General features: G+C 34.4%; 1 protein-coding gene across 6 annotated transcripts in view; it reads left to right on the top strand.

The window, feature by feature from the left end:
• PGAP1 (post-GPI attachment to proteins inositol deacylase 1) overlaps nucleotides 1–25836 on the top strand; it is a 93704-nt gene extending 67868 nt beyond the window's left edge. For 5 of the 6 annotated variants that reach the window (NM_001321100.2, NM_024989.4, NM_001321099.2 and 2 more), the window contains 7 exons: nucleotides 10803–10893; nucleotides 11640–11837; nucleotides 12823–12958; nucleotides 14266–14316; nucleotides 14765–14952; nucleotides 16015–16119; nucleotides 17468–25836. In NM_001321100.2, coding sequence (NP_001308029.1) covers nucleotides 10803–10893; nucleotides 11640–11837; nucleotides 12823–12958; nucleotides 14266–14316; nucleotides 14765–14952; nucleotides 16015–16119; nucleotides 17468–17606 — 908 coding nt within the window. In that variant the 3' untranslated portion in view covers nucleotides 17607–25836. Of the gene's footprint in view, nucleotides 1–10802; nucleotides 10894–11639; nucleotides 11838–12822; nucleotides 12959–14265; nucleotides 14317–14764; nucleotides 14953–16014; nucleotides 16120–17467 lie in introns of those variants that run through there. The other variant, XR_007082522.1, reaches the window with a different exon arrangement.

Below are 26591 nucleotides of genomic sequence, written 5' to 3'. Positions count from 1 at the left end.
ATCTTCTCTCTTTTTTTCTTAGTCTAGCTAAAAGTTTGTAGATTTTGGTTAACTTTTCAAAAAAGCAACTTTTTATTTTGTTGATCTTTTTGTTTTTCCCTGAAGCTGGTTCATAGCTGATGTATTTTTTTCAGTCTCAATTTCTTTTATTTCTGCTCTGATCTTTATTATTTTATTCCTTCTACTAATTTTGGTTTTCATTTGTTCTTGCTTTTCTAGTTCCTTGAGATGCATCATTAGGTTTTTTATTTGAAGTCTTTCTACTTTTTGGATTTAGGCATGTATTGCTATGAACTCTCCTCTTAGAACTTTCTTTGCTATATTCCATAGCTTTTGGTATATTGTGTTTCCATTTTTATTTGTCTCAAGGAATATTTTAATTTTTAAAAATATTCTTCATTAACCCATTCATTGTTTAGGAGTCAATTTTTTTTTTTTGAGACGGAGTCTTGCTCTGTCGCCCAGGCTGGAGTGTGGTGGTACGATCTCAGCTAACTGCAAGCTCTGTCTCCCTGGTTTACGCCATTCTCCTGCCTCAGTCTCCTGAGTAACTGGGACTACAGGTACCCACCACCATGCCCAGCTAATTTTTTTGTATTTTTAGTAGAGACAGGGTTTCACCTTGTTAGCCAGGATGGTCTCGATCTCCTGACCTCGTGATCTGCCCACCTCGGCCTCCCAAAGTGCTGGGATTACAGGCGTGAGCCACCACACCCAGCCAGGAGTCAAATTTTTTAAAAAAAATTTTAAAGAGTTTTCAAAGAAGATCCACACAGTCCAGTTGGTCATTCGTTTCTTTAAGTTTTGTCAACTTAAATAACAAACAGAAAGAGGCTCTCTAAAGGAAAATGATGTTTATTTGTAATAGGGCACTGCAGTGGGAATATGTGTGCTACAGTAAACTTATGCATATTCAGGGAGGTAAAGGAAGACAAAGGATGCTGAAGGAAAAATAAAAAGGATTACAATTGTTTTGAAATGATTATTCTTGGCTACCAGGATGAATAACAAGGGCGATGCCAGTTTGAGGTTGAGCAGGCAGTTGCTGGGCAGATGTTCTCAGAGAAATTTTTTTCTGTATAAGGTTGATATGGCCTTTGTTCCAGGTTGCAGTCTTTTGTGTTAGTTTTATTATCAAGCATACAAGTGTGAGAACTCTCTCTTCTTAGCCTTCCTCAGCTCTATTTGTCAGGGTTTGTTTGTTTGTTTGTTTTTAACACAAATGACCATGTTGATTCTGGCCAGTTTCACATTTTCCCCTTTTGATTAAGATATTTCTCCAAAAGCATCACTGATCAATCACCCCATAGTTAGATTTTGATATCCCTTGGTGCTGGAATAGACCTGTCCCAGGTTGTTGGTCTAATACCACATTGTAATGATTGGTGACTAGGAGTCAGTGTCAAAAACCTTTTAGCCACATTTGAGCACTGAGGGATGTTTGAAGGGAGTGGCTCTGAAGCTAAGTCTACCTGGAGTCCATTATTAAGTTCAGCTTAGTTTGTTCCATAGTCTTTTGCCATCATTTCAAAGTGCTGGGCCAGCATTAAACTGTTAGGAGTTGTATTTCTACAAAAATTTAAACAAGTTAACAGATAGAGGAATGCTAGTGATTTTCGTACATTGATTTTATATCCTGAAATTTTGCTGAAGTCGTTTATCAACTGAAGGAGCTTTTGAGCCGAGACTATGGGGTTTTCTAGGTATAGAGTCATGTCATCTGCAAACAGAGATAGTTTGACTTCCTCTCTTCCTATTTCGATGCCCTTTATTTCTGTCTCTTGCCTGATTGCTCTGGCAAGGACTTCAGAAAGGCAATCCCATTCACAACTGCCACAAAAAGAATAAAATACCTAGGAATATAGCTAACCAGGGAGGCAAAAGATCTCCACAATGAGAATTACAAAACACAGCTCAAATAAATCAGAGAAGACACAAAGAAAAACAAAGTTTAAAAAGGGGAAATACAAAGTAAAATGATCAGTTTGCATAATAGTTTTGAACCATGAACCTAGGCTTAAACACAACCAGTTGAATACATCAAATGACCATTATCCTTCAAGTAAAAAAGGTCACTAAGAAGGGTAAGGGTCTCATGATATGAAGTCTTGTTCTGACATCTTGGGAAAAGCTATCTGAAGAGTGGAAGTGTCAACTTCTCATCCTGGTTTGTAGTTTGAATGACTCTGATTATGACATCAGGTGCCTTGGTGAACTTTTTATGTGGCCCATACATCAAACATGAGGCTTATTTCTTAAAATGCATCTAGTTTCAGCTTACAGGGCTCTCAGAATAAAGCACTTCTCATTTTTAGTAATTCCATGGAAGAAAGTTGGATTGGAAGAATCTAGAAGAATGCAGGATCTAGTCTAGTTTATCAAGTAGTATAGTCTATCAAGAACTTGAAAACAATGAACAGAGCTACATTCTAATAACAGGTGTATTATAGCTTTTATTTAGAAACATAATTTTTTTCTCTCTACATTGATCACATAGCAATCTCAGATTTAAAAACCTTGAGGGCTGGGCATGGTGGCTCATGCCTGTAATCCCAGCACTTTGGGGAGGCTGAGGCAGGTTGATGACCTGAGGTCAGGAGTTTGAGACCAGCTTGGCCAGCATGGCAAAAACCCCATCTCTACTAAAAATACAAAAAAATTAGCCAGGCATGGTGTTGTATGCCTGTAATCCCAGCCACTCAGGATACTGAGGCACGAGAATCACTTGACCCCAGGAGGCAGAAGTTTCAGTGAGCCGAGATCATGCCGCTGCACTCCAGCCTGGGCAACAGAGCGAGACTCTGTCTCAAAACAAAACACACACACACAAAAAACAAAAACAATAAAAACCTCTTGAGGTTTTTAAGGTCTTAAGGTTCCTAGGCCTGCCAGCAGTTGACAGTTTTTATTTACTCACTATCAGGCTGGGAACCCTTAAAGTCAGATATTCTGTGCATCTTCTCAAATATAACATTTTTGATAAAGCCGTGGTAATATAACTAACATTCAATACAATATTTCCAGTTGTGTCCTGTTATAAAGAGAGGACAGATTTTTATTGGACTTATAAAAAAAAATCATACGGCCATAAGAATACTCAGGTAGTTTCCAAATTTTGTAGGAGCCAAGTAGAGAGAAAAAGCATATGATTCCATCTTTGTTCAGAAAAGTATACTTTACCAAATTGCCTGCTTAAGAGATAAATTTTCCTTAAATCTGGAAAATAAAACCTTTAAGTGAAGAACCAACATTTCAAATAGAAGTCATAAAAACACTATCAGTTGGTCAATCTCATGTAATTAATTTTTGTTCTGCTTGATTTCGATTAGCAGTTTCCTGAGCCCATCAGTTTTTTATCAGGGTTTTGGAAATTTTTATTTAGTTAATTAATCTTAAAGTTATCAGAAATCTGTGTTTAAGAGTGCTTATTGGACAGGTGTGGTGGCTTATACCTGTAATATCAATGCTTTGGGAGGCTGAGATATGAGGATCATTTTTTTTTTTTTTTTTTTTTGGTGACAGAGTCTCGCTCTGTCGCCAGGCTAGAGTGCAGTGGCTCGATCTAGGCTCACTGCAACTTCTGCCTCCCAGGTTCAAGTGATTCTCCTGCCTCAGCCTCCCCAGTAGCTGGGACTACAGGTGCCCACCACTACACCCAGCTAATTTTTTTTGTATTTTAGTAGAGACAGGGGTTTCATCATGTTGCCCAGGCTGGTCTCAAACTCCTGAGCTCAGGCAATCCACCTGCCTTGGCCTCACAAAGTGCTAGGATTACAGGCGTGAGCCACCGTGCCCTGCTGATATGAAGATGACTTTTGAGGTCTGGAGTTTGAGACCAGCCTGGGCAAGGAGGCCCCGTTTCTACAAAAAAAAAAAAAAGTTTAAAAAGAATACATTAGCTGGGTATGGTGGCACATGCCTGCAGTCTTAGCTATTCAGCAGGTTGAGGTGGGAGGATCACTTGAGCCCAGGTGTTCAAGGTTGCAATGAACTACAGTTGCAACACTGCTCTCCAGCCTGGGCAACAGAGTGAGACCCTGTCTTCAAAGGAGAAAAAAAAGAAAGAGTTCTTGTTAAGGTTTTTTCATGAAAAACTTGATTGCAATACAGCTGATTGCAAATGCTTTTGGAGAAGAATTTAAAACAATAACTGTGGATGACAGAAACTTATCATAGTCATGGTTAAAATCTGATGAAAGCCCCAAAGTGATAAGGAAATTTTAGTTATTTCTGTTACATGCAGCATTTTAAGATATCACCTAGAATCATGACTGACAGCATCATATCAGGACCATCAGACTTTTATCAATTTTATGTAATTTTTAGAAATGCTGACATCAATAACATATCCATACAAATATAACTTTAAAGAAGATTTAACATAGCCAAAATTATGACTGATAACATATTTGATTTCTATGAATTTATGTAATTTTGTAGTATATCAATAACATGAATATAACTGAAAGAAGATCTAGTATCACTTATCATTTGACAATGTTTTCCATATAATTTACCAAATAAGCCTAATCATTTAATATCTCTACAAGATGAGAGATATATTCTTGGAGGCTTTTCAGGGGCCCAACTAGAAAATCTGAAAATTAATTCTAGGTAAAAAAGACTTAGTTTAGAATTTTCGGCCGGGTGTGTGGTGGCTCATGCCTGTTCTCTGAGCACTTTAGGAGGCATAGGAGGGTGGATCACTTGAGCCTAGGAATTCAAGACTATCCTGGGCAACATGGTGAAACCCTCTCTGTACAAAAAATAAAAAATAATTAGCCATATGTGGTGGCGTACATACACCTGTAGTCCCAGCCACTTGGGAGTCTGAGAAGGGAGGATTACTTAAGCTTGGAAGGTTGAGGCTACAGTGGACCATGATTGTACCATTGCACTCCTCCACCAAAAAAAAAAAAAAAAAAAAAATTCATCTTTGGGAAGCTTGCCAAATATGTCAAAAGGTTCAAAACGCTTGATCAAAAGAGGATCACAGGTCATTGTGAAATAATAGTATTTCGGTTAAAGTAGTAAAAGACTTCAAAAGCAATACAGAAAGTTGTATGGATGTAAAAATCTTAATCTTCTTAAAGCTCAGTTATCCTAAGCTTTAAGATTAATAAAGATTAACACAGGAAATTATCCTATAAAACATCAGTACTGTGTAATTCCCTGTGTTATCTTTATTAGGTTTTTTATTACCAAAAGATAAAGAAAAGTCTGTTGCAGTGTGACTGCATTTTTTTATGGGAAACTCATTTAGATAACCCAGAACTTGAACGAACCTGATGAATGGGTACTTGAATTTAATCAGATACAGGAAAAATGTGTCTAAGGTTATAAGTGTAAGCCCATATTATAGAGGAATATAAACAAGAAAGCTAGTATTGGGAACAGAGGAATAAGTGGCTCTTAGAAAAAGTAAAAACATGTGACATAGTTTCCTGATTACATGGAACAATTGAGATGTATCAAGAAAAGCCAAGAATATAGAATCAAGTTATCCAAGAGGAAAACATTGTTTTTCTAGATGAAGATTTCGGCCTCAGGCCATAACAGTACAGTTAGAACTGAAGAAAAAAGTTACAGGAGGTGACAAAAAGGTTGAAAGAGAGGTTATCCCCTGAGGCCTTCTCAAAGGGAGAGAGGAAGAACAGATCTCAGGAGGAAATGTGGCAGAAACAGAAACTCTGGACAGTGTAGAGGATGGCTGTTAATGAAACAGATTTCAGAGTTAAAAATCAAAACCCTTTCCAATTTTCTAAGAGTAAATGAATATTTCAAGAAAGCCTTGCTGCTTCTACATAGGGGACCAAATTTTTAGTTTTGCATTAGTATATCTTTAATATCGAATCTTAATCTTTAGAAAGACACAAATCTCTTTTATAGCCAATTTGATCACATGCAGAATTTTCTTTCATAAAGTCACTCTTCATCAACTTTTTTCATGACTTACTCAGACCTTTGATAACATGCTTAGCCTTTCTGTCTTGTCCAAGTATTTCCTATTTCTTAAATAACCAGTCATTTTACTTTAGGACAAAAATGGATCACATAAGTTGTTCTTATAAAAACTATTCTGTTTTGTTTTTAACCTTCCTTACCAAAAACACATTCTCAACCCATAACTTTATTCACATCTCTCTCTTACTTACTGGTTCCTTTCTATCTTGTTTCTATTTTTTTCTAAATCTATATTTTGAAACACCTTTAAGTACATCCAAATTAGACAAAATTATTTTTTGTCAATAAAGAACACATTTGTATGCCTTTCTTATAATTTTTCTCATCAATAATACATTATTTTTGATATATTTTATATACATTAATTAGAATTGTTATTATAAATTAATTTCTATTTTTAACTAGAAATTTAACTCTTAGTAACCTTAAATTTAACAAGTAATTTGAACTGTCACTTATTAGTATTTAATAGATGAGAACCAGCTTATTTATTAAAGATTTACTTAAGTCACTGAGCTAAAAGACACTTGGGTTAATTAGTATATAATTTGTATGAGTACTCATTTATTGAAGCCAATCTGAATAGAATTTCTTAGGGGATTTTTGGCCAACTATGCCAATACATGTACATATGTATAAATGTACCTGAACATATATAGACATACTCAAAAGCCTTATAGATTTCATTTTGGAATTTTAATTATAAAGTAGTAATACAAACTCACTGGTTTGTGAAAGATAATTAGATTTTAATTATAAAGTAGTAATACAAACTCACTGGTTTATGAAAGATAATTAGATCCAAATTACATTTCTGACAAAATTGGGCCCCTATATGTAATTAAGGCTGTGGAACAAAATTTGGGGTAAAGTAGCCTGTAGAATGCAGATCACGTAAAATATTAAATTTGACACACAGAAAACCAAAAGTAAATTCCCTAGAAAAGACATGTCTAACGAACAGAATGTAAATTCCGTAGAAACTCGGGTCCTCAAACCACAAAGACATTTGTCTTTAAACCAGGAAAGACTTGCCAGAAAAGACAAAAGGTCTTCTGTCATCCCAGGAGAGATGTAAGGTCCTTTATTTACCAGATCCAGAATAAAGTCAAGAGGTTCTACCTTGATTTTAGAGGGAGAGAGAGTCTTGGCCTGACAAAAGGTGTGCCGTGGAAGCAGAGAGCTCCAGGGGCTCATATGAGTACTGCACACCAGTTCTAAGCATCACAAACTGTGTCCAAAAGTAATCCTATTCAAGGTCCTACCTCTGGACACTCTTCATGTCAACCTAAATAACAAACAGAGAGGGGCTCTCTAAAAGAAAATAATGTTTATTTGGGAATAGGGTATTGGAACAGGAGTCCACAGGTCATAGTAAATTGTTTGCATATTCAGGAAGGTAAAGGAAGACAATGGGTGTTAAAGAAAAAATGAGGAGGATTACATAATTGTTTTGAAATAATTATCCTTGCCTATAAGGATCCATAACAAGGGTGGTGGCAGCCCGAGGTTGGACAAGTAGTTGCTGGGCAGATGTCCTCAGAGAAGTATTTTTGTGTGTGTGTAAGGTTGCAGTGGCCTTTGTGCAGAGTTGTGGTTTTTGCAGAGTCTTCTGTGACAGTTTTGCTATTATGTATACAAGCATGAGAACCCTCCCTTCACAGCCTTCCCTGGCTCTATTTGTCAGGGTTTTTTTATTTTTTTGTTTTTTTTAAAAAAAACAAAAAAACAGTGACTCCATTTTGATTCTGACAACTTTCATTGTCAGAACTGAATTGTTTCTTTATCTGTAAGGTCTGTTCTCCATCTCTTTTTCTCCCCTTATAATTTATCAAATAAAACTTTTTTATACTTTTGCATTTTCTATGTTTGGAGTTTACTGATTCCATCCCCTTGCTGGAGTTGAACATGTTTTTCTATTTTCTATAAATTGATAATTAGAGCTATAGGTGTGATCAGATTCAGGTTATTTCCCACCAATCCCCATCCCTGTTCTTTTTTTGCTGCTGCTGCTGCAAGAATCGTTCATAATATGTATACTTCTAATAAGAGACACTCACTCCCTAATTTCCTTCCTTGTCATCCTAGTTTGTTTCCTTTTCTTTCTTCCCTTCCTTCCCCTCCCATCTCTTTTTTTCATCTTCCTCTTTCCCTCCCTTCCTCCCTTCCTTCCATTTTTCCTTCCTTCCTTCTGACCGTCCATCTGTTGTTCCTTCCTCCTTCCCTCCTTCCTTCCAAGAGCCAATGCTTCCTTGCTGCCTTGTCATCCTACATGTGGCTAAACAAGACAGATGATTTCTTAAATTTATCGTCCCTCTCTCCCAAATTTGCAAGAGTTTGGGATCCTCTTAAGTTTTAAGACATCCCCAAGAAAATTCCTCACTTGTTTTCTCCATTTTATACCCTGGCACTTGAAGTTTTCTTCCTATAGTCTGAAGACTTCTTAAAATGTAGAGCCTGATCTTGTTCTCCATTCTATTCCTAGTGCCTAAGATAGTGCCAAGCACACAGTAGGCATTTACTGTAATATTTGAGCTGCATCAACTGTGTCAGTTAGATCCTGGCATACTGAATGGAATAATTGAGATTATAATGGACTATTTCAAAGGTATATGTGCAGGGTTAAGAGAAACCAACAAGAAATGATAAGATGCTAAACTAGTAACAGAGCCAGCTGGTACTCCAAGGTACCAGGACAAGAGAAGGAACAAACCTAGAGGGCTCTAGGAGTGGATAACATTCCTGGAGCTGTAGCCTTGGGTGCAGGAACACTACAACCACTGCCACCCTGTGGCTCAGCAGGAAAAAGATGAGGAAATACATACACTAACCTTATTTTCTCCTACCCTCCTATCTGCTGATACCTCTTAATTCCTGAACTTACCTAGAAGCCAGTCTATAAAAGTCAGCCTCCCAGAATTCAGGAAAAAGTGAGGGGTGGAGAATGGATCTGGAGAAGCAGATGTAGAAACTGTAGTACAATGGACAAAACCTTCCCTGGAGTATAGCAGTTATTAGTTTCCCAGGAGGCTAAAACTTTGTTTCGTTGGGCTTGGACAGTGATTAAGGGATGCAGGAGCAGGGAAAAAAGAATTTGGCCTGAATATATTAAAGCAGCAGTCCATAAATCCCCTCCACTCAAATCTTTCTACAGCTACTTAGTGCCCTTCAGTTACTTTTATACAATTTCAAGTCTGCCTTTAGTGTTAATTTTAACCTGATTTAACCTATATTCCAGGAAGTGGTAAGCAATATTCAGTTGATCTGTGCCAGACCCAGCCTTTTAATTAAGAGATTATTCTGGCTGGGTGTGGTGGCTCACACCTGTAATCCCAACACTTTGGGAGACTGAGGCGGGTGGATCACGAGGTCGGGAGATCCAGACCATCCTAGCTAACACGGTGAAACCCCGTCTCTACTAAAAAAAAAAAAAAATACAAAAAAATTAGCCAGGCGTGGTGGCACGTGCCTGTAGTCCCAGCTACTCGGAAGGCTGAGGCAGGAGAATGGCATGAACCCGGGAGGCAGAGGTTGCCGTGAGCCAAGATCGTGCCACTGCACTCCAGCCTGGTGACAGAATGAGACTCTTTATAAAAAAAAAAAAAAAAAAAAAATTATTCTGACACTATGACATCAACCAGAACCAGACTTAAGTATAAATGTCTATCTTGTTTTGAAAGTCTGAAAAAGGTCTCGTTTTTCTTGGTTTCAACTGACTTGATAATTGATTCTCAGACATATAGAATGTACATCTAGGGGATATTTGATGCTGGTTAATCTAGAGGCTTTAAGTACTGGATTATGTATCCAGCCAATTAAATATGTAGTTCTGAACCAAGGATGCTTATCAAAAATCACCTGTGGATTATACCCACTAGAACGACTATAATTTTAAAAAGACAAATAATAAGTTTTAATGAGGATGTGGAAAACCTGGAACCCTCATACACTGCTGGTAGGAGTGTAAAATAGTGTCGCTACTGTGAAAAACAGTCTGACAATTCCTCAAATGGCTAAATACAGAGTTATTGCATAACTCAGCATCTGCATTCCTAGGAATATAACCAAGAAAAATGAAAGCATATATTCATACAAAAACTTATATGCAAATGTTCATAGGAGTATTATTCATAACAGCCAAAAAGCAGAAACAACCCAAATGTCTGTCAATTGATGAATGGAAAAATAAAATGTAGTATAATCATACAATGGAATAAAAGGAATTTGATTAAAAAGAAATTAAATGAAATACTGGTATATGTTACAACATGGATGAATCTTGAAAAAAGTGGAAGGAGACCATCACAAAAGACCACATATTATGATTCCATGTATGTGAAGTGTTCAGAATAGGCCTATCTTTAGAGAAGGAAAGTAGATTACTGGTTGCCAAAGGATGGGAATTTGGGGGGTAATAGTTAAAAGAAAACTTTCTTTTGTGGGTAATGAAAGTGTTCTAAGACTGTGGTGATAGATGTACAATTCTGAATATACTAAAAACCACTAAATTGTATATGTTTAAATAGAAGAATTATATCAGAATTTTGTCCCATAAAGCTAATTTTTTAAATCACTTGTGGAGCTTTGTGAAAATACAGCTGGTGAAACCCCAGCTTTGACTTCCTGAATTTGTTTTTACAAGTGATTGAATGTGTACTCTAATATAAGAACCATTGAATTACAGCTATTTTTAATCTTTCAAGAAGAGTCTCTGTGATAGTAATGAAGACCCTTACTTTCTCTGACATAAAATATGTTGCTGTTTTAGAGAACGTGGGATATAGTATATCTCATACTTAATTACTGTAAATTGCATGTAACTTTTTTTAAATCACCAGGTTGTTGCTTAGAATATGCTACCATGTTGGATAAAGAAGCCAAACCATACAAAGTTGATCCTTTTGTAATTATCATTAAGTTTCTGTTGGGGTAAGTTTTATTATCTGTGATAATGATTTTAATTGTGTTTTACATGTAACATTATATTTGGTTCCATAATGCAATATAAATTTTCATACAGATTTGGCAGTTGACTTGTTTCATTAAATGAGGTTTTTTTTTTCTCTTAGGCAAAGGTCTAATAAGTATATCAATGTCTACTTCAATAGTATCATTTCAAAAGTAATTATTCACTTTATGTATATCAGTCTAAACTTAGACTGCCTTTAATGTTTGTAAATAGGTGTATATGGTCCATGATCTGTGAGTATCCTAGATTCAAACGCAAATCATTACAGGGTATTGATGAAACAGTGCCTCTCTGATCACTTTTAAAAGTATATTTTAGACCTCTCTACCCTAGTTAACATTCCATTCTTAATTTAGTCACATTTTCAGATTTTTGGTTAAGCATCAATATGTAGATCTTTTTTTCCATCATTACAACTAACTTGGCTTTCTAAAAAAAAAAAAAAAAAGAACATATTACTTTCTACTAGTATCAATATAGATTAGTAAAGCTATACTGAAATGCAGATCTTCAAAGATCAGTAGGCTCACTTGGAAAATAAATGACTTGTTCCATACAAAGAATTAAAAATTTGTTTTTCAGTATAATTATAAATTAAGTATCATGGAACTTTAGAGACTCTCTTGAATAGTCAGACACCTCAAATATTAAGTCCTTAAATTTCAGTTGTTGGGTTTTTTGCTTTTATATTTTCTTTTCTCCACAGGTATAAATGGTTTAAAGAATTGTGGGATGTATTATTGTTACCAGAATTAGATGCCGTCATTTTAACTTGTCAGAGTATGTGTTTCCCCCTGATATCCTTGATTCTCTTTCTGTTTGGAACGTGTACTGCCTACTGGAGTGGCCTACTGTCTTCTGCATCTGTGAGACTTCTTTCTTCATTGTGGCTAGCTTTGAAAAGGTAAAGAATGAATGATTAACAGCTTTCTTATTGCTTTAAGAAGAAATATATATTCTGATAAGGAACCTGAAATTAATTATTTTTACTAAACTATTTTCTAAGGAAAAATATATAACTAGCGAAAGTATGGGTTAGTGTTCAAAGTTATGTCTGTGAAAGCTAATCATTTATTAAGAGTTAAATGTTACATTTGATTTTGACCTTAGCGCTCAAGAGTTAATAAGAAAAGTTTGACAAATTACGCAGATAGTTTTACATTTCGTGGTTGTGAATCTTTCCCAGGAGGGATTGTTTCTCCCATAATATTGCTTTTATATGCTGACTTCTATATTGAAACCAGGGGGCAAGAGACTGTAAACCAGATATTAGGATCAGATTAGATGAGATATATAAAAGCTCCAAAAACATTGCCTAGAGTTTTATTATGGGCCCAATGACACAGTTTGAATCTGAAGTTACTGGTAGGCTTTCCTGGTAAATCATCAATCTAGTGCCCATTGCCACTCCTCCTTACCAGACATGTCATGTGATTTCCTGTCACAGAGGGGATTATGGTGGGTGTGATGCTTCTTCCTCCACCCTTCTGAGATGCTTCAGATAGGGGTTCTGATAGTAACACCATCAAGGGTCTGAGTGGTCTCTAGGCTTTAAGAAATAGAACATAGTTTCTCCTCCTGTCAAGACTGGAGATGTATGGCACAGAGTGTATAATTAATGATTATCTTTGGTAACATTTTTTCACCTGTAGTACAAGTATCAGCTATAGTATTATCAAAATGGTAGAGGAGTTATCACAATACATTACAGAACTTAAAATCAAATATTTGGGACCACTTGCCTTTATTTAAAAAATACCTTGTTGTTTACCTTATGTATTTGCATATAAGCAAGAGAGACTGGGAGGGTACTATATTGTTTTCTTCTTATATGTGACTATATAAATATTTGTTAATATATATTTTAAACTTTATTCTTATAATTCCAGACCCTCTGAACTTCCTAAAGATATCAAGATGATATCACCAGACTTGCCCTTTTTGACAATTGTCTTGATCATAGTTAGTTGGACAACTTGTGGAGCACTAGCCATACTTCTTTCTTATCTTTACTATGTGTTTAAGGTATGTCAAATCAGTAAAGCCAAAATGATTGAGCTTTGTATTAGGCACATACATGTAGGATGTTCCGTAGGCATTGTTAACAAAAATTCTCATAAACACTGTAGTAACCCTCTGTTACATAACGGGTTTGAATGTAATTAGTTATTTAAATTACATACAATTAACTGGAAAAGGGAAATTATTGATCTAAGTTGGGGTTTTTTTGTTGTTAAAAAGGAAAGGGAAAGGAGAAGATATAATCTGTTTCTGCTTGCTTCTTAGTCTTTACAAGTGTTAAATTTTTTTTTTTTTTTAACATTTCACTAGGGCAGTTTATATTCACACCTCTTTTTGAACATGGGTAAGAGACGAAACAAAAAGTGATGTCAGTAGGATCAAGCTATTAATCATACTAAGATAATATAAAATGTTACAAATGTTGCTGAAGGATCAGAAGATGACAATAAAAATAATTAGGCTAATATTTTTACTGAAGAAGTGAAAAACGTGTCTGATAAAGCTGACAGCTTTGCAAAGAAAAAAAAAAAAATCCAGGAGGTAATACAAGTGTATTCTCTCCATGTTATTCTTAGGAACAGACAGTTGACATCAGAGTGGATAATTCTTTTTTTCCTTAAAAATGAAATTTTTAAAAGTGTAAATACATGCATATCATATATTATTTTCAGTTTTCCAAAGGAAATTTATATGCTTCTTAAAAAATTATTTACAGCTACTTTGATTTATAAATAATAATTTTAGTATTTTTTAAATTAGGTAATTCAAACCACTGACCCACTAAGCAAAGTTTTCTTAAATACTTAAGTAACCCTAATAAATTAAATTTAAAGATTTTTTTCAGTTCTTATAAACATTTCACCACTGTATATAATTGGGTTCTGGTTTTCAAAGACTTAAAATATGTGAAATGTGTTATATCCTTTTACTATATTGAATGTAATGAAATCTTTGACTTACAAGACACTTTAAGTTGCTATAACAAAGCATCATTCAAACATAGGCTTTTACAGGTTATAAAAGGTATAGCGGTATATCCTGGCCCCACCATACTCCAGAAGTTTGTATTGTTTTGTTTCTGTTTCCGTTTTTTTGTTCATTTGTTTGTTGCTTTTGTTTGTTTTTTAATCCATGATAGCCAGCATGTGTAGTTGTTGTTTTGTATAAGAATGTTTTTAAATGTTTAAATGACTTTTTGGTTTACATTTTAAACATTTCAGATTACAGTGCTTCTCATTTTTAATACCAAAAGGCTTATATGTTTTGTTTCAAAATAAAAGTAAAATTAAAGAGCAATTTATTTTTCTTAGGTTGTTCATCTGCAAGCCAGCTTAACAACTTTTAAGAATAGCCAGCCTGTGGTAAGTTTTATTTTCAAAACTCTACATAAATTTAAAATGAAAGAACATGGGGAAATATAAGAGTTTTTTTTTTTAAGGTTAGTATTTCATAGTGCTTAAAAGATACAGTATTATGAATTTAAGTAAAGTGAACCTAATGAATATTTTAAAAGACTTATAAGTTCATCTTTTGTCAGTACCCATGTCATTTTTTTACAAGTTTATTGTCTATTAAATTTTATTTTGAATAATTACTTAGATATATTCTTAGCAGTAGAACTAGCAAGTCAAAAGAATAAAGGTTTTATAACAATTTTAAAGTATTTTTAAGCAAAGTAATTTCAGGATTTTATGTCAGTTTGGTAATGGAAAGATGTACTTATTTAGTTGATAAGTAATGAGTATGATTCTAAATAAAGTAATATACTTTTGTTTAGTGTCTTGATATTTCTACTTTATTGTTTTATAGAATCCCAAACACTCTAGAAGAAGTGAAAAGAAATCCAATCATCATAAAGACTCCTCAATACACCATCTTCGTTTATCTGCCAACGATGCTGAAGATAGCCTTCGCATGCACAGTACTGTGATTAACTTACTAACATGGATTGTATTACTCAGCATGCCTTCTCTAATTTATTGGCTAAAGAATCTTAGGTGCGTTTTATTGATATAATTATTGTTTATGTGGTTCAAACAATAAATATCCCTAAGTAGAGACTTGCTAGATTCCTAATGGTTAATGAAAATTCCTCAGGAACAGGAAGCTATACATTACCTGAAATTTATTTATTTATTTATTTATTTTTAATTTTTTGAGATGGAGTCCCGCTTTGTTGCCCAGGTGGAGTGCAGTGGCGCGATCTCAGCTCACTGCAACTTCCGCCTTCTGGGTTCAAGCAATTTATTTTTAATACATTCACATTTTCTCCCTTACTATGTGTATATAAACTTCGGGAATATAAACTTTTCAAAAAATCAGCCCAAAAGGGTGAACTGTATTTTTATTAATTGGTCAATTGCTAAATAAAAGGCCACTTCATCCAAGTAGTAGTTGAACCCCTATTCAATGTAGTTTTCAAAAATGATATAAAACTTTCAAGTTATCTAAATACTGGGAATTTTTTTAAGTTGGCAGAACCAAAATAAGTTCAAATTAAATCAAAGGTTGCTAGATTTTAATATCCTTCTTTTATATCTGTTCCTTATTTTAGTCAATATCCAGATGTTTGTTCACAGATTTGCTGTCAGAATTATTTGAGGAGCACAAATTTTTGGTTCTGAAAGGCTATAGACATTTTACTGTCAGTAAATGCAAGAAATGAATTGGATTTTTAAAAAGATAAGGGACAATTAACTTCATGAACCTTCATTTTATCTTTTTTGTTATAGAGTAGTACTCATGTATTTTAAGTAATTTGTTTTTTTTTAAACTTTATGCCGTTTTAAACATACACTGCTTATAAAAAGAAAGTGCTTTCATACCGGTTATTTTCATTTCCTTTAGTAGTTTCTGATCATAATTCTCTTTCTAAAACCTTGAATACAAAGATGATGTAGAACAAAAATTATTTATCAGATATTTCATGAACTATTTAGAGCTCTCTTATATCCATATTGCTACTGGAATGTCTTTAACAATATTTATCCTCTTGATTCTGATAATTTAAAATGATCAGGTCATTGTTGATTTGTGGGTTTCTTTTTTTAATATTATAGGTATTATTTTAAACTTAATCCTGATCCATGTAAACCTTTGGCATTTATCCTTATTCCGACTATGGCAATTCTTGGAAATACTTACACTGTTTCAATAAAATCAAGGTACAGTAGTTTAATCTTTCTTTTTCTTATATCTGTTCTTGGCCTTTTTCCCCCTTTATATCTAAAATATACTCTTTATTTCTAATTAATTTAAATATTCCTAAAAGTAAAGCCATAATAGTATTATGGTTTATATGCAAGTATACTTGTTTTCTTAATTATAGGTTTTATTTGATAGAATATAATGCAGTTTTTTTTTCTTTATGAAGTTAACCCTATAAAGACATGATCTAAGATTTGCTTCCCAAAAAGCAAACAAGAGAAGTGGATGGAGATATTGGTGAGATAAAATTGGCCATGATTTGATAATTTTTGAGGCTGAGTAATGCTTACATGAGGGTTCATTATACTGTTAGTCTACTTTTGTAGTTTCAAATTTTCCATAATAAAACCTGATTTTTCATTCACTTGTTGTTTGCTCTGGGAGTCTTTTCAGTTGATTCTGCCAGATATTTGCAGATATTTTAGAATCAGGCCGACCTGGAGTTTAAATCCTGGTTCTGCCAAATATTTAATAGCTCTGTCTTTAGTTACATTTCTTAACCCCTCTTATTCTCAGTTTCTCTATTTTCAGAGTAAAAAGGTAATTGTCTTTTCTGATAGTATTTTTCTCTTTATACTCCTTGTTTTGGGAATGTAAGATGGTTCTTTGGTTTTTTGTTTTTTTTTTTTATAAGTAGGGTTAAAATAAACATTTCTGTAGCTATGTCTTATTGAACATTATTGATTATTTTGTTAGGATAAATTTCTAGAAGTGGAACTACTGAATAAAAGTCCAACTAGTATTTTTCTGTTTTTAAAATTAGAAAGACTAAATAAAACTGGCTATTTTTTAAATAGAAATATTTTTCTTTTCTAGCCAAGTATGGCTTGTATTGACCTTTTTAAAAATTATGAATAGGTAGGCCAGGCGTGGTGGCTCACGCCTGTAATCCCAGCATTTTGGGAGGCCAAGGCGGGTGGATCACGAGGTCAGGAGATCGAGACCATCCTGGCTAACACAGTGAAACCCCGTCTCTACTAAAAATACAAAAAATTAGCCAGGTGTGGTGGCGGGCGCCTGTAGTCCCAGCTACTCGGGAGGCTGAGGCAGGAGAATGGCATGAACCCGGGAGGCGGAGCTTGCAGTGAGCCGAGATTGCGCCACTGCACTCCAGCCTGGGCAACAGAGTGAGACTCCATCTCAAAAATAAAAAAAGAAATTATGAATAGGTAAATTCATATCATTAAAAATTCATTTAAATTCACTTAGAATATTTATCTTTCCAAAACTGTATAAAAGATTGATATAATTTTGGCTCACAATGTAGTTCACATAAGTAATGTATATTTCTCTGTCTCTTTACAGTAAATTGTTGAAGACTACTTCACAATTTCCACTTCCTCTGGCTGTTGGTGTGATTGCTTTTGGGTCAGCACATTTATATAGGCTTCCATGCTTTGTCTTCATTCCTCTTTTACTCCATGCATTATGCAACTTTATGTAAGATTGGACTTAAGGAATGATGAAGATAATTTATGTGTTTAGGGCCAGTGATAAGAGGGAACACACAGATCCATCAGTATGGACAGCAAGATCCTTTGGAGAAGACAAGTCTATTTTTACAATATTGAAAATAGGAAATTAGTTTTGTAATGTTTGAGGGAAGTAGTTGAAGCATGGTTTTGTTTTGTGGTGTGGAATCCATGTAGTAATCATTTTTGAAAAATTCATGAAGGGATATATGGTGATCACTATCATTGAGGACTCCTGTGCATATAAAATAGTCTGTTTTATCAACTGTACGAGAAGTCTGATATGAGAGATTTAGTAGATGCAGCATTATTTGCAGTCTCACTGCAAGCATTCTGCTCATTTCATCAAACTTTTTTTCACAAAAGTAGGTTATTTTGAATTTGCTATAGTTTACCTATTAAGAAATAAGTCTTTAAATAACTGATGAAATTTATAGCTGTTTGGTTTCTCAAAGGTTAAATAGCCACAGAAAGCCTTTGGTTAGTTTTTGGCAGCCACCATGAACAAAGTGGATCTTGTCTTCTTACATCTATGAAAATAGAGCTTTGAATGGTAAGGAGATATGTTTTCTTGGTAACCAATGCAAGATTGATGGGTGGAAACATGATTCAAACTTACACAATTTTTCTTGCTATTTTTCAAATATGAATCTTACTATATATTCTCGGTGAACATCAGGAGACTATTAAAGAGGTCTGCTGTTAAATGTAAAGAAAAAATGCTCGTAGCTATTTGCTTCCTGGTATTGGAGCAGTTCAGTTGTTTAGTTTATACCATTGGATTCAATTCATTGCACCATGGTTGCCAAAAGTGCCTGAGGTCATAATGGATTGTTAAAATAACTAAATTCCAGTGGTTGGAAACTCTAGGTTTGTACCATTTTTTCTGCTGTGGGAAAAAACAACAACAACAACATGATCAAGGTAACATCACATTTGATGTATAATATTATACTATTAATGGAATATCAGTAGACAACTGTTAACCCATTAGTAGCATGAGTATAAACAGTACACCTGAATAAATTGGAGACATTAGCCACTAGGTTTAACAGTGGAATCTTGATTTGCCTAGGTGACTTCTGGGATTACTGTTTGACAAATAAGAGTAACATTTTATTTCATTTCAGAATTTACGTCACTTTTAGCTACAAGAGTAGGAAGAAGGTAATCGGCAAGGCAGAAGAGTATACTCTTTGCCTTAGGATAGCGTAAACTCAGGCTGAGACATACCCGGCTTATAGAGTTCTTCTAGATGTGTAGACTGTAAATGCCCAAATCCTCTCAACTAAAGTTTTAGTGATTCCACAAAGCCTCTCATGTAAATTTCCAGTGATTCCACCATTGCACTTGTGAATATGTATCCTTGTTAGTACCCAGGGATGTCCTCGAGCACCAGTTTTATTTTATCTGCCATTGCATCTGGATTCCATTACAGCCTCTCAGCTGTTACTGCCTGTGGACAGTTACTTCTGCTTACTGCCTGTAGAGAGTTACCTAACTTCTCTTCTCAGTTCTTCCTCAGGTCCTGGCTATTTTGGCCTCAGTTGAAGGGAGTCTTGCTCTCATCTCTGAGGGTTTTAAGTTTGTTTGATCCCATTGTTGTCTTTTCTAGCTTTGAGCATGTTTTTCAGTATTCATATTTTAACTTACTGAGAACATTAAAGGGAAATGATAAACTCGTGGTGGGGATATGGCAGACAGGTGCTTGTTTGTTTGAGAGAAGTAGCAGAAGAGATAAAATACAAAGTGCTATATGTTTCAGCTGGAGAGGAAAGAGAGAGAATTTATTAGATTATATACTTGTCCCATGGCATACCACGTATATGTTTAAATAGGGACACATCTCCCTATGTTTAACTATACTTATAAACAACTTTGATACACATTGCGTCTTTTATTCTGTCACCTGATATTTTAGTGTATCTCAAGTTACAGATTACATGTGTCCTTAAACTATTTCTGAATTTGGACTTAGTTCCATATACAGAAAGAACTTTAGAAAATTCATTAATTTGGATCTTCTATTGATAGCCATAAATATTATGTTTATGTATTCTAAAACCTCTTTGTTTAGTTAGTACTGTTCATGAATGTAACAAGCTTCAATTTCTCATTTGTGAGTAGTACATTTGCTTTTTGTTTGTTTGTTTGTTTGTTTTTGAGATGGAGTCTCACGCTGTCACCAGGCTGGAGTGCAGTGGCGCGATTTCAGCTCACTGCAACCTCCACCTCCCAGGTGCAAGTGATGCCCCTGCCTCAGCCTCCCGAGTAGCTGGGACTACAGACACCCGCCACCACACCTGGCTAATTTTTGTATTTTTAGTAGAGACGGGGTTTCACCATGTTGGCTAGGCTGGTCTCAAACTCTTGACCTCGTGATTTGCCCGCCTCTGCCTCCCCAAAGTGCTGGGATTACAGGCGTGAGCCACCACGCCCAGCCGTACATTTACTTTTTAAAGCAGCAGACTAGGTACACTAATTCTCACTCAAATATTTTCATGGGAATGTAGTTATCACCAAGTCCTAAAGTATTATTTATGCCAAAAAAAATTTCATTTTAAGGACTACAAAAATGATTCTAATTAAACATTTTATAATCAATAGTAGGTTGGGTCTTTAGCCATTATATGTGTATATATACAGACACATATGTATACACTTACATTTTGACAGGGTCTTCATTGAGTCTTGATGCACTTTAAACCCAGCTGGCTACCAGAGATGCGAAGGTGGGCTCTTTGAAGATTAGCAAAATGGACGTTTCTGTCACTTGAGAAAAGGAAAGTTCTTTGCCTTTAAATTACACAGTTTTCATCATGCCCACAATCTATATTATTGGCTGGTTAAACAGCACTGCCCTATTAGCAATGTTAACAAAAATGAAATTATTTATTGGCGGTTATAGATTATCTAATTCAGGAAATTTCTGAGCTCAACTTTTACAGCAACTGTTATGCCTTCTAATTTAGCAATTGAGTTATGAGTAAGTTTTGTGCTTAACTCCTAGACCCTATTGTTGATAACCAGATCAAATATAGTCTGTACAGAGGAAAACACTGGGAACATTTAGTATTTCTAAAGCCTCCTTTGGAGTTACTACTGATTGTAATTTGGAACTGATAATAGGTAGAGATTGCTAACACTGTTTTTTTTCCTGGATCTTTTTTATGCCAGAAATTAAACAGGTTCTGCTAACTCTTTTTTTTCTCTTGGTTATCACCAGAATGAAAATATTTAAAGTGATGACTCTAGAAAAGCCATCTGTGCCTGGTTAACATTGAGTTTGAGTCTCTTCAATATATATTGATCATGTATTGATTAATCTTTATTTTTTCATATTTTGGCTAGACAAATTCAGATCTATATAATGGAATACCCCTTCTTGAGTGAACTATACTACTAATCTACATGATTATATAGTAAGGAAAAAAGAAGAAATAACTGTAATAGGCATAGTGTTTGTTGTTGGTTGTCTTGTCATTCATGTGATACTACTCATTTCCAAAATTCACACAAACTTACATGAGGTGGATTATTTGTTTTGTTCATTATTTAGTTCCTATATGTTTTTTCTTTAGAAACAGAGTCTCATTCTGTCACCCAGGCTGGAGTCCAATGGGGCGGTCATAGTTCACTGCAGCCTTGAACTCTTTGGCTCATGTGATCCTCCCATCTCAGCCTCCCACAGCAGGTGAGACTACAGGTACATGCCACTGTGCCTGACTTTTTAATTTTTTTGTAGAGACGAGGTTTCAGTTTGTTGCCCAAGCTGATCTTGAACTCCTGGTTTCAAGCGATCCTCCCACCTCGGCCTCCCAAAGTAGTGGGATTTCAGGCATGACCACCTGGCCTAGTTCCTATACTTTTCTTAATTCTTCAGACTTCTCACATTTAGTATAGTGCATTCATTTCATCTTGCTGTTTATTAGCACCCTTTGTGGCCAAGGGAAATAAAAGGTGGTAAAATTCAGTTTTCAGTTTAGTTCTTGAAAGCTCTGGGAAATGGAGGAAACACAAAACTATGAATTAAACTAGGGCTGTTGATTTCTGAACCCCCAGATAAATCAGTTGACCCACATTTTCATTTTAGGTGTTAGGTCCAAATTAGCATAATGTCTTGCATTATTATTAGGTTCAGTGTGAAACTTTACAGTGCTGCATTTGAAGTTTAGTAACTGGTTATTATTAATCATTTGGGAAAAATGAAAATGTGTTGGGACTTTCTATGACTAGGCATTTGTTGATTATTTTTCATGATTGCTTTTTGTTTTCTCATTGTGTAGGATTTGTGAACTTGTATATTACAGGAAACAAGATACTTTGTAAAATTTACTGGGGAAAATCCATTTGGAGTGCATGACATTTGCCAGGATAAGAAAGCAGTAATATGTTTGTATTATAAAATTACACCCTGCCAGAAAACTTTCTTTCCTAGTAAGGTAAATGTAGAAGGGACTTTTACAGCATAGTAAGTTGATTAGGAGCCAAAATTTTATTCCAGTTTTTTTTTGAACTAAGAATGTTTTAAATTCTGTAATGAACTTTTATGTTTACCCATTACTCATGCATTCTTTCACAATATGTTTAATAGCCTGAGGAAATAGGAAAGCTGTGAAGCTACTACCATTCTTTACTTTTAATAAGAATAATAGGAAAGAAAAGTCAGGTCAGTAATCCAAATCCAAATATGTATACTGCAAATGCTCAAGAAGTCACATTTTTTGATAAATTGTATTGAGTACAGAAGAACTTATATGAATTTATTATCTGTTAATAACTTAGTTTTGACAACAGAATAACATTTGGAAATTGTGAGAATAATCAAGCTGTTTTTCCATTAACAGTGTAAATTCATAACATGTCCTTCAAAAGGTGATATTCTAAGCTGTCTTAATTGTCTACGGTTGATAACTTTTAAATAAAGTACAGGACTTTCTGAAAGTGTTTGGCATGTTATGCTGCCAAAAACAATCTGTGTTTTGAAATACCAATTAATCAGTTAATTTCTGAAGACTTTGTATAGGACTTGATATATGAGTCAGAATCTGTCTGTACTCATTCTGTACATTGTAACTTTGAACACTTATGAAAAACTGTATCTGTTGGTGTGTTTTGATTAGTTAGTGTAGATTTGTTTGCGTATTTGAATTCCGATTTTAGTTTAGGAAGACTAAAAGTAGCCATTTTTGTAAAGTTCATATGCTATTTTTTAATGTCATTTTTGTTTTTAATATTTATACAATAGTGATGTTACTAGTAAAAAATGTTTATAGATAACACGTAGAGCTATTAACTGTTCAAAAGCCTACATGATAGGCATATTTTGTATTTCGTGTTGCACTCGTTCTGTTTCATATTGGACTTTTTACATCCCTTTTTTAGCAAAAAAAAGAGACACATTTGAATTCTCTTTAGCATAAAGCTGTGCATTGGAAACTATGTGACTGTATCCATACGGTTAGCAAAATACTCTTTGCCACCAAAGGTAAATGAAACTGTAAAATACCTCTGGATATTTGTGCCAATGAACTTTTCTTAGCATATTAGGATTAAAGCAAAAATAATCTTTTCAGTATGTTTCATCTAGGACTTACAATAAATGTTTAAACCATGAAAACTTATATTTCATACCCTAATTTTTCTTTGAAAATATTCAAGATTTGTAGCCTAGTGTGTTCTATTTTGTGTGATTGCTTGAATGTTTTCTGATTTTATTGGGTAAAAGTTTGCCTAGTAATGATCTTTCAGCAATTCATTGAAATAATTATTTGAAGTAATCTTGCTTCAGATTTAATTTGTGATGTACATTGTTGTACAAGCCATTTTAGTACAGGTGTCTCATTTATGTAGTTGAAAGGTGACTGTGGAATTTCTTTTGTTTTTTATGTATTTCCATTCAGTCTCTTTATATAGTCACATGTTTCACAGGGGAACTTGTCCACTGGAACCTAACATAGTACAACCTTTTAATATGCGTATCTTAAAGGAAAATATTATAAAACAAGATATTAATACTAAAGTGTTAACATTAATATGTTGTTCTCATGGAAGAAAAGTAGAAAATGTGATAGGCTTAGAAATTATTTTTTATCAGCATTAAGTGCTTCAATTTCTCCCCATAAAGATTCTAAGGAAATTTCAGTTCCTCATATTATAGTTTTCCCCATAATTTAATATTACTAAGTATTTCTCTGCCCAGTAATGTTGATGCAGTTTGCATAAATAGCCTTGGAAGTAAGGAGGCAGGACAGAAAGCCAAATATCGAAATCTCTGGCCTTGATTTAGTGACAGTTTATTCTAATGGGGACCATAGGTGTTATTAGTAAAAAGATAGTGTACAAGGCCTAAGTTCAGTTTACATTGTTCTTTGAAATGAGTTCATCTTTTGTGTTGAATAATTGTATTCTAAGTAGGAGATGCCTGTATTTAACATAATCATGCTTTCTATATAATCAAATATGTATTTGTTGGAATACTGGTAGAAATAACCTTCCCTTCCTCCACTGTGCAGTGGAAAAAAAACTCCCGATTTATACTGTATATAAATTAGGAAATTATGTTACATATTTACATTTTTAAAAATATAAAAATGACATATTATTTTGAAGTGATTGTATTATAGTTTCTGAAGCTTATGACTGGCTATAAATATAACAACATACCCATGAGAAACCAGACCAAAATTGAATATATATCATCACTGTGACCTTGAACTTATAGTCATTTGGGATAAAACAGAGTGTGCCTTGAAATGATAAAGAGTGCCCTGCAATTTTATAACTGTACATTTTATTATGGGTGGTCCTCTCAAATTGGCCCCAAATCCTTGTCTTCGAGGTTGGTGAAATAAAAGTTTAAAATAAAAGTTGACTGGTATTTCCTTTAGTATTTCCAGAACTATTGCTGTAGAGGCCTCCCTTAATTTTCAGAGTTCTCATTTTGAATTAAAGTAGACTTACGCTACATAGATGTAGAAAATTAGGTTTGGCTTAGGTTTCTGAAAAAATATTCTAGGAGAAGGTGGTAGCATTGTTCTGAACTTACCACACTTGGAAAAACTAATCTTCAAATGTAATTTTTTGTCTTATTAATGAGTAATCTGTCAAAGACATGAATTCTTTGACTTGTGCTCATTCTTTCTGAACTTATTGAGGCTTATATATATCAAATAAGGTTAATTTACACAATAATTATTTTTAATAATTAATAAACTCATTCATGTAGTATATTTTAAAACATTATTTCCTCTCATTTTTCCTTCTCTTTTTTCTTCCTATATATTTTTAAGGCTTCAAGAGAAAACGGGCTTCAGTTTTTAAAAAAATGTAGACTTGCATTTTTACTGTGCTTATTTAAAATAATGGATATAATTTATATTAAGGTCCAAATTATTTTATTCACAGGATAATCATGGTCTCTGATAAAAGATGCCCACATTTCTGTGTACTCACAGTTGTTGTATATTTTTCAATTTCAATTTTGAAAGTAAACTCAACACATTGTTTTCCCATTTTACCTCCACTACCTACTCGCCAGACAAAAATATAGATTTCTCTAAAAACACATACAAAGAAAATGTCTTTCCTTAAAACATGATCTTATTGACATGAAGGTAGTTTGAGCAAGGGTATGTAATAAAATAAATGGCTCTCAACCTGCATCAATTTTTATACTATAGTTAAAAAATTTATAGAGGACAACCTATGTGTTATGCTGAGATAGACTCAGTAATCATTTGTTTGCAAATTGATTATTTTTTTCTCATCCATCCAGAAAGTACAGTGCATAACAACAACACTTAACAAGTGCAGAGGAACCTGTCCTGTAGTATATAATAAAAAATGATTGTCACCTTGCTGATCTTTCCATTTAAACATGCATGATCTCCAGTACTTTGTACAATGTATAGTATATTAAATACATTTATGTGTAATTTTGTGTGTATTTTTATATGGTATAATTAAAATTATTACATTTATGTGATTGTAATTCACAAAAAGTACTACTTACTATATTCTGTAGAGTGTGTTGTGAATGTTTTTACCTGTGTTTGAGCATTATGGTGTAGGTTTAATAGATGAATATTTGCCTTCAGTCTCTGCTCAGGTATTAATGTGTAGTAATTTTTGGTGCTTTCTTTTTAATCTGTGATAATCTGGTGTTCTGAATGTTCAAAAATAAATTTGGTTGAATACGCACATGGTAAAAAGATTGCTTACCAATTGACATACTCTCTATAATACCATCTTGGTAAAAACTCTTTAAAAAGGATTTATTGGCCGGGCGTGGTGGTTTATGCCTGTAATCCCAGCACTTTGGGAGGCCAAGGCGGGCAGATCACGAGGTCAGGAGATTGAGACCATCCCGGCTAACACGGTGAAACCCCGTCTCTACTAAAAAAAAAAAAAAAAAAAAAAAAAAAAAAATTAGCCAGGCATGGTAGCGGGTGCCTGTAGTCCCAGCTACACAGGAGGCTGAGGCGGGGTAATGGCGTGAACCTGGGAGGCAGAGCTTGCAGTGAGCCAAGATCATGCCACTGCACTCCAGCCTGGGCAACAGAGCGAGACTCCTCAAAAAAAAAAAAAAAAAAGGATTTATTTACATATCTACCATTTCAGAAATTAGAATGCATAAGCCTGGGACATGACACATCACAGGTAAACATTGAAGCAAGACAAATTCTTGTATTTTCCCACTTTGTATTTTGTAGTTTTCCACACACATGCATTTGTATGAACATTTCATGGTTCACATTCTGTTTTAAAGAATTGTAGATATTTTTCTCCCAGAGACTATGCTTTTCACATTTCTTTTTTCTTTTTTTTTTTTTTTGGAGACGGAGTCTGGCTCTGTCTCCCAGGCTGGAGTGCTGGAGTGTAGTGGCGCGATCTCAGCTCACTGCAAGCTCCGCCTCCCGGGTTCACGCCATTCTCCTGCCTCAGCCTCCCAAGTA

Source organism: Homo sapiens, chromosome 2 (assembly GCF_000001405.40).
Source record: "Homo sapiens chromosome 2, GRCh38.p14 Primary Assembly".
Classification (NCBI taxonomy): Eukaryota; Metazoa; Chordata; class Mammalia; order Primates; family Hominidae; genus Homo; species Homo sapiens.
Note: the sequence above shows the minus strand (reverse complement) of the source record. Positions and strands in the feature narration are given on the sequence as shown.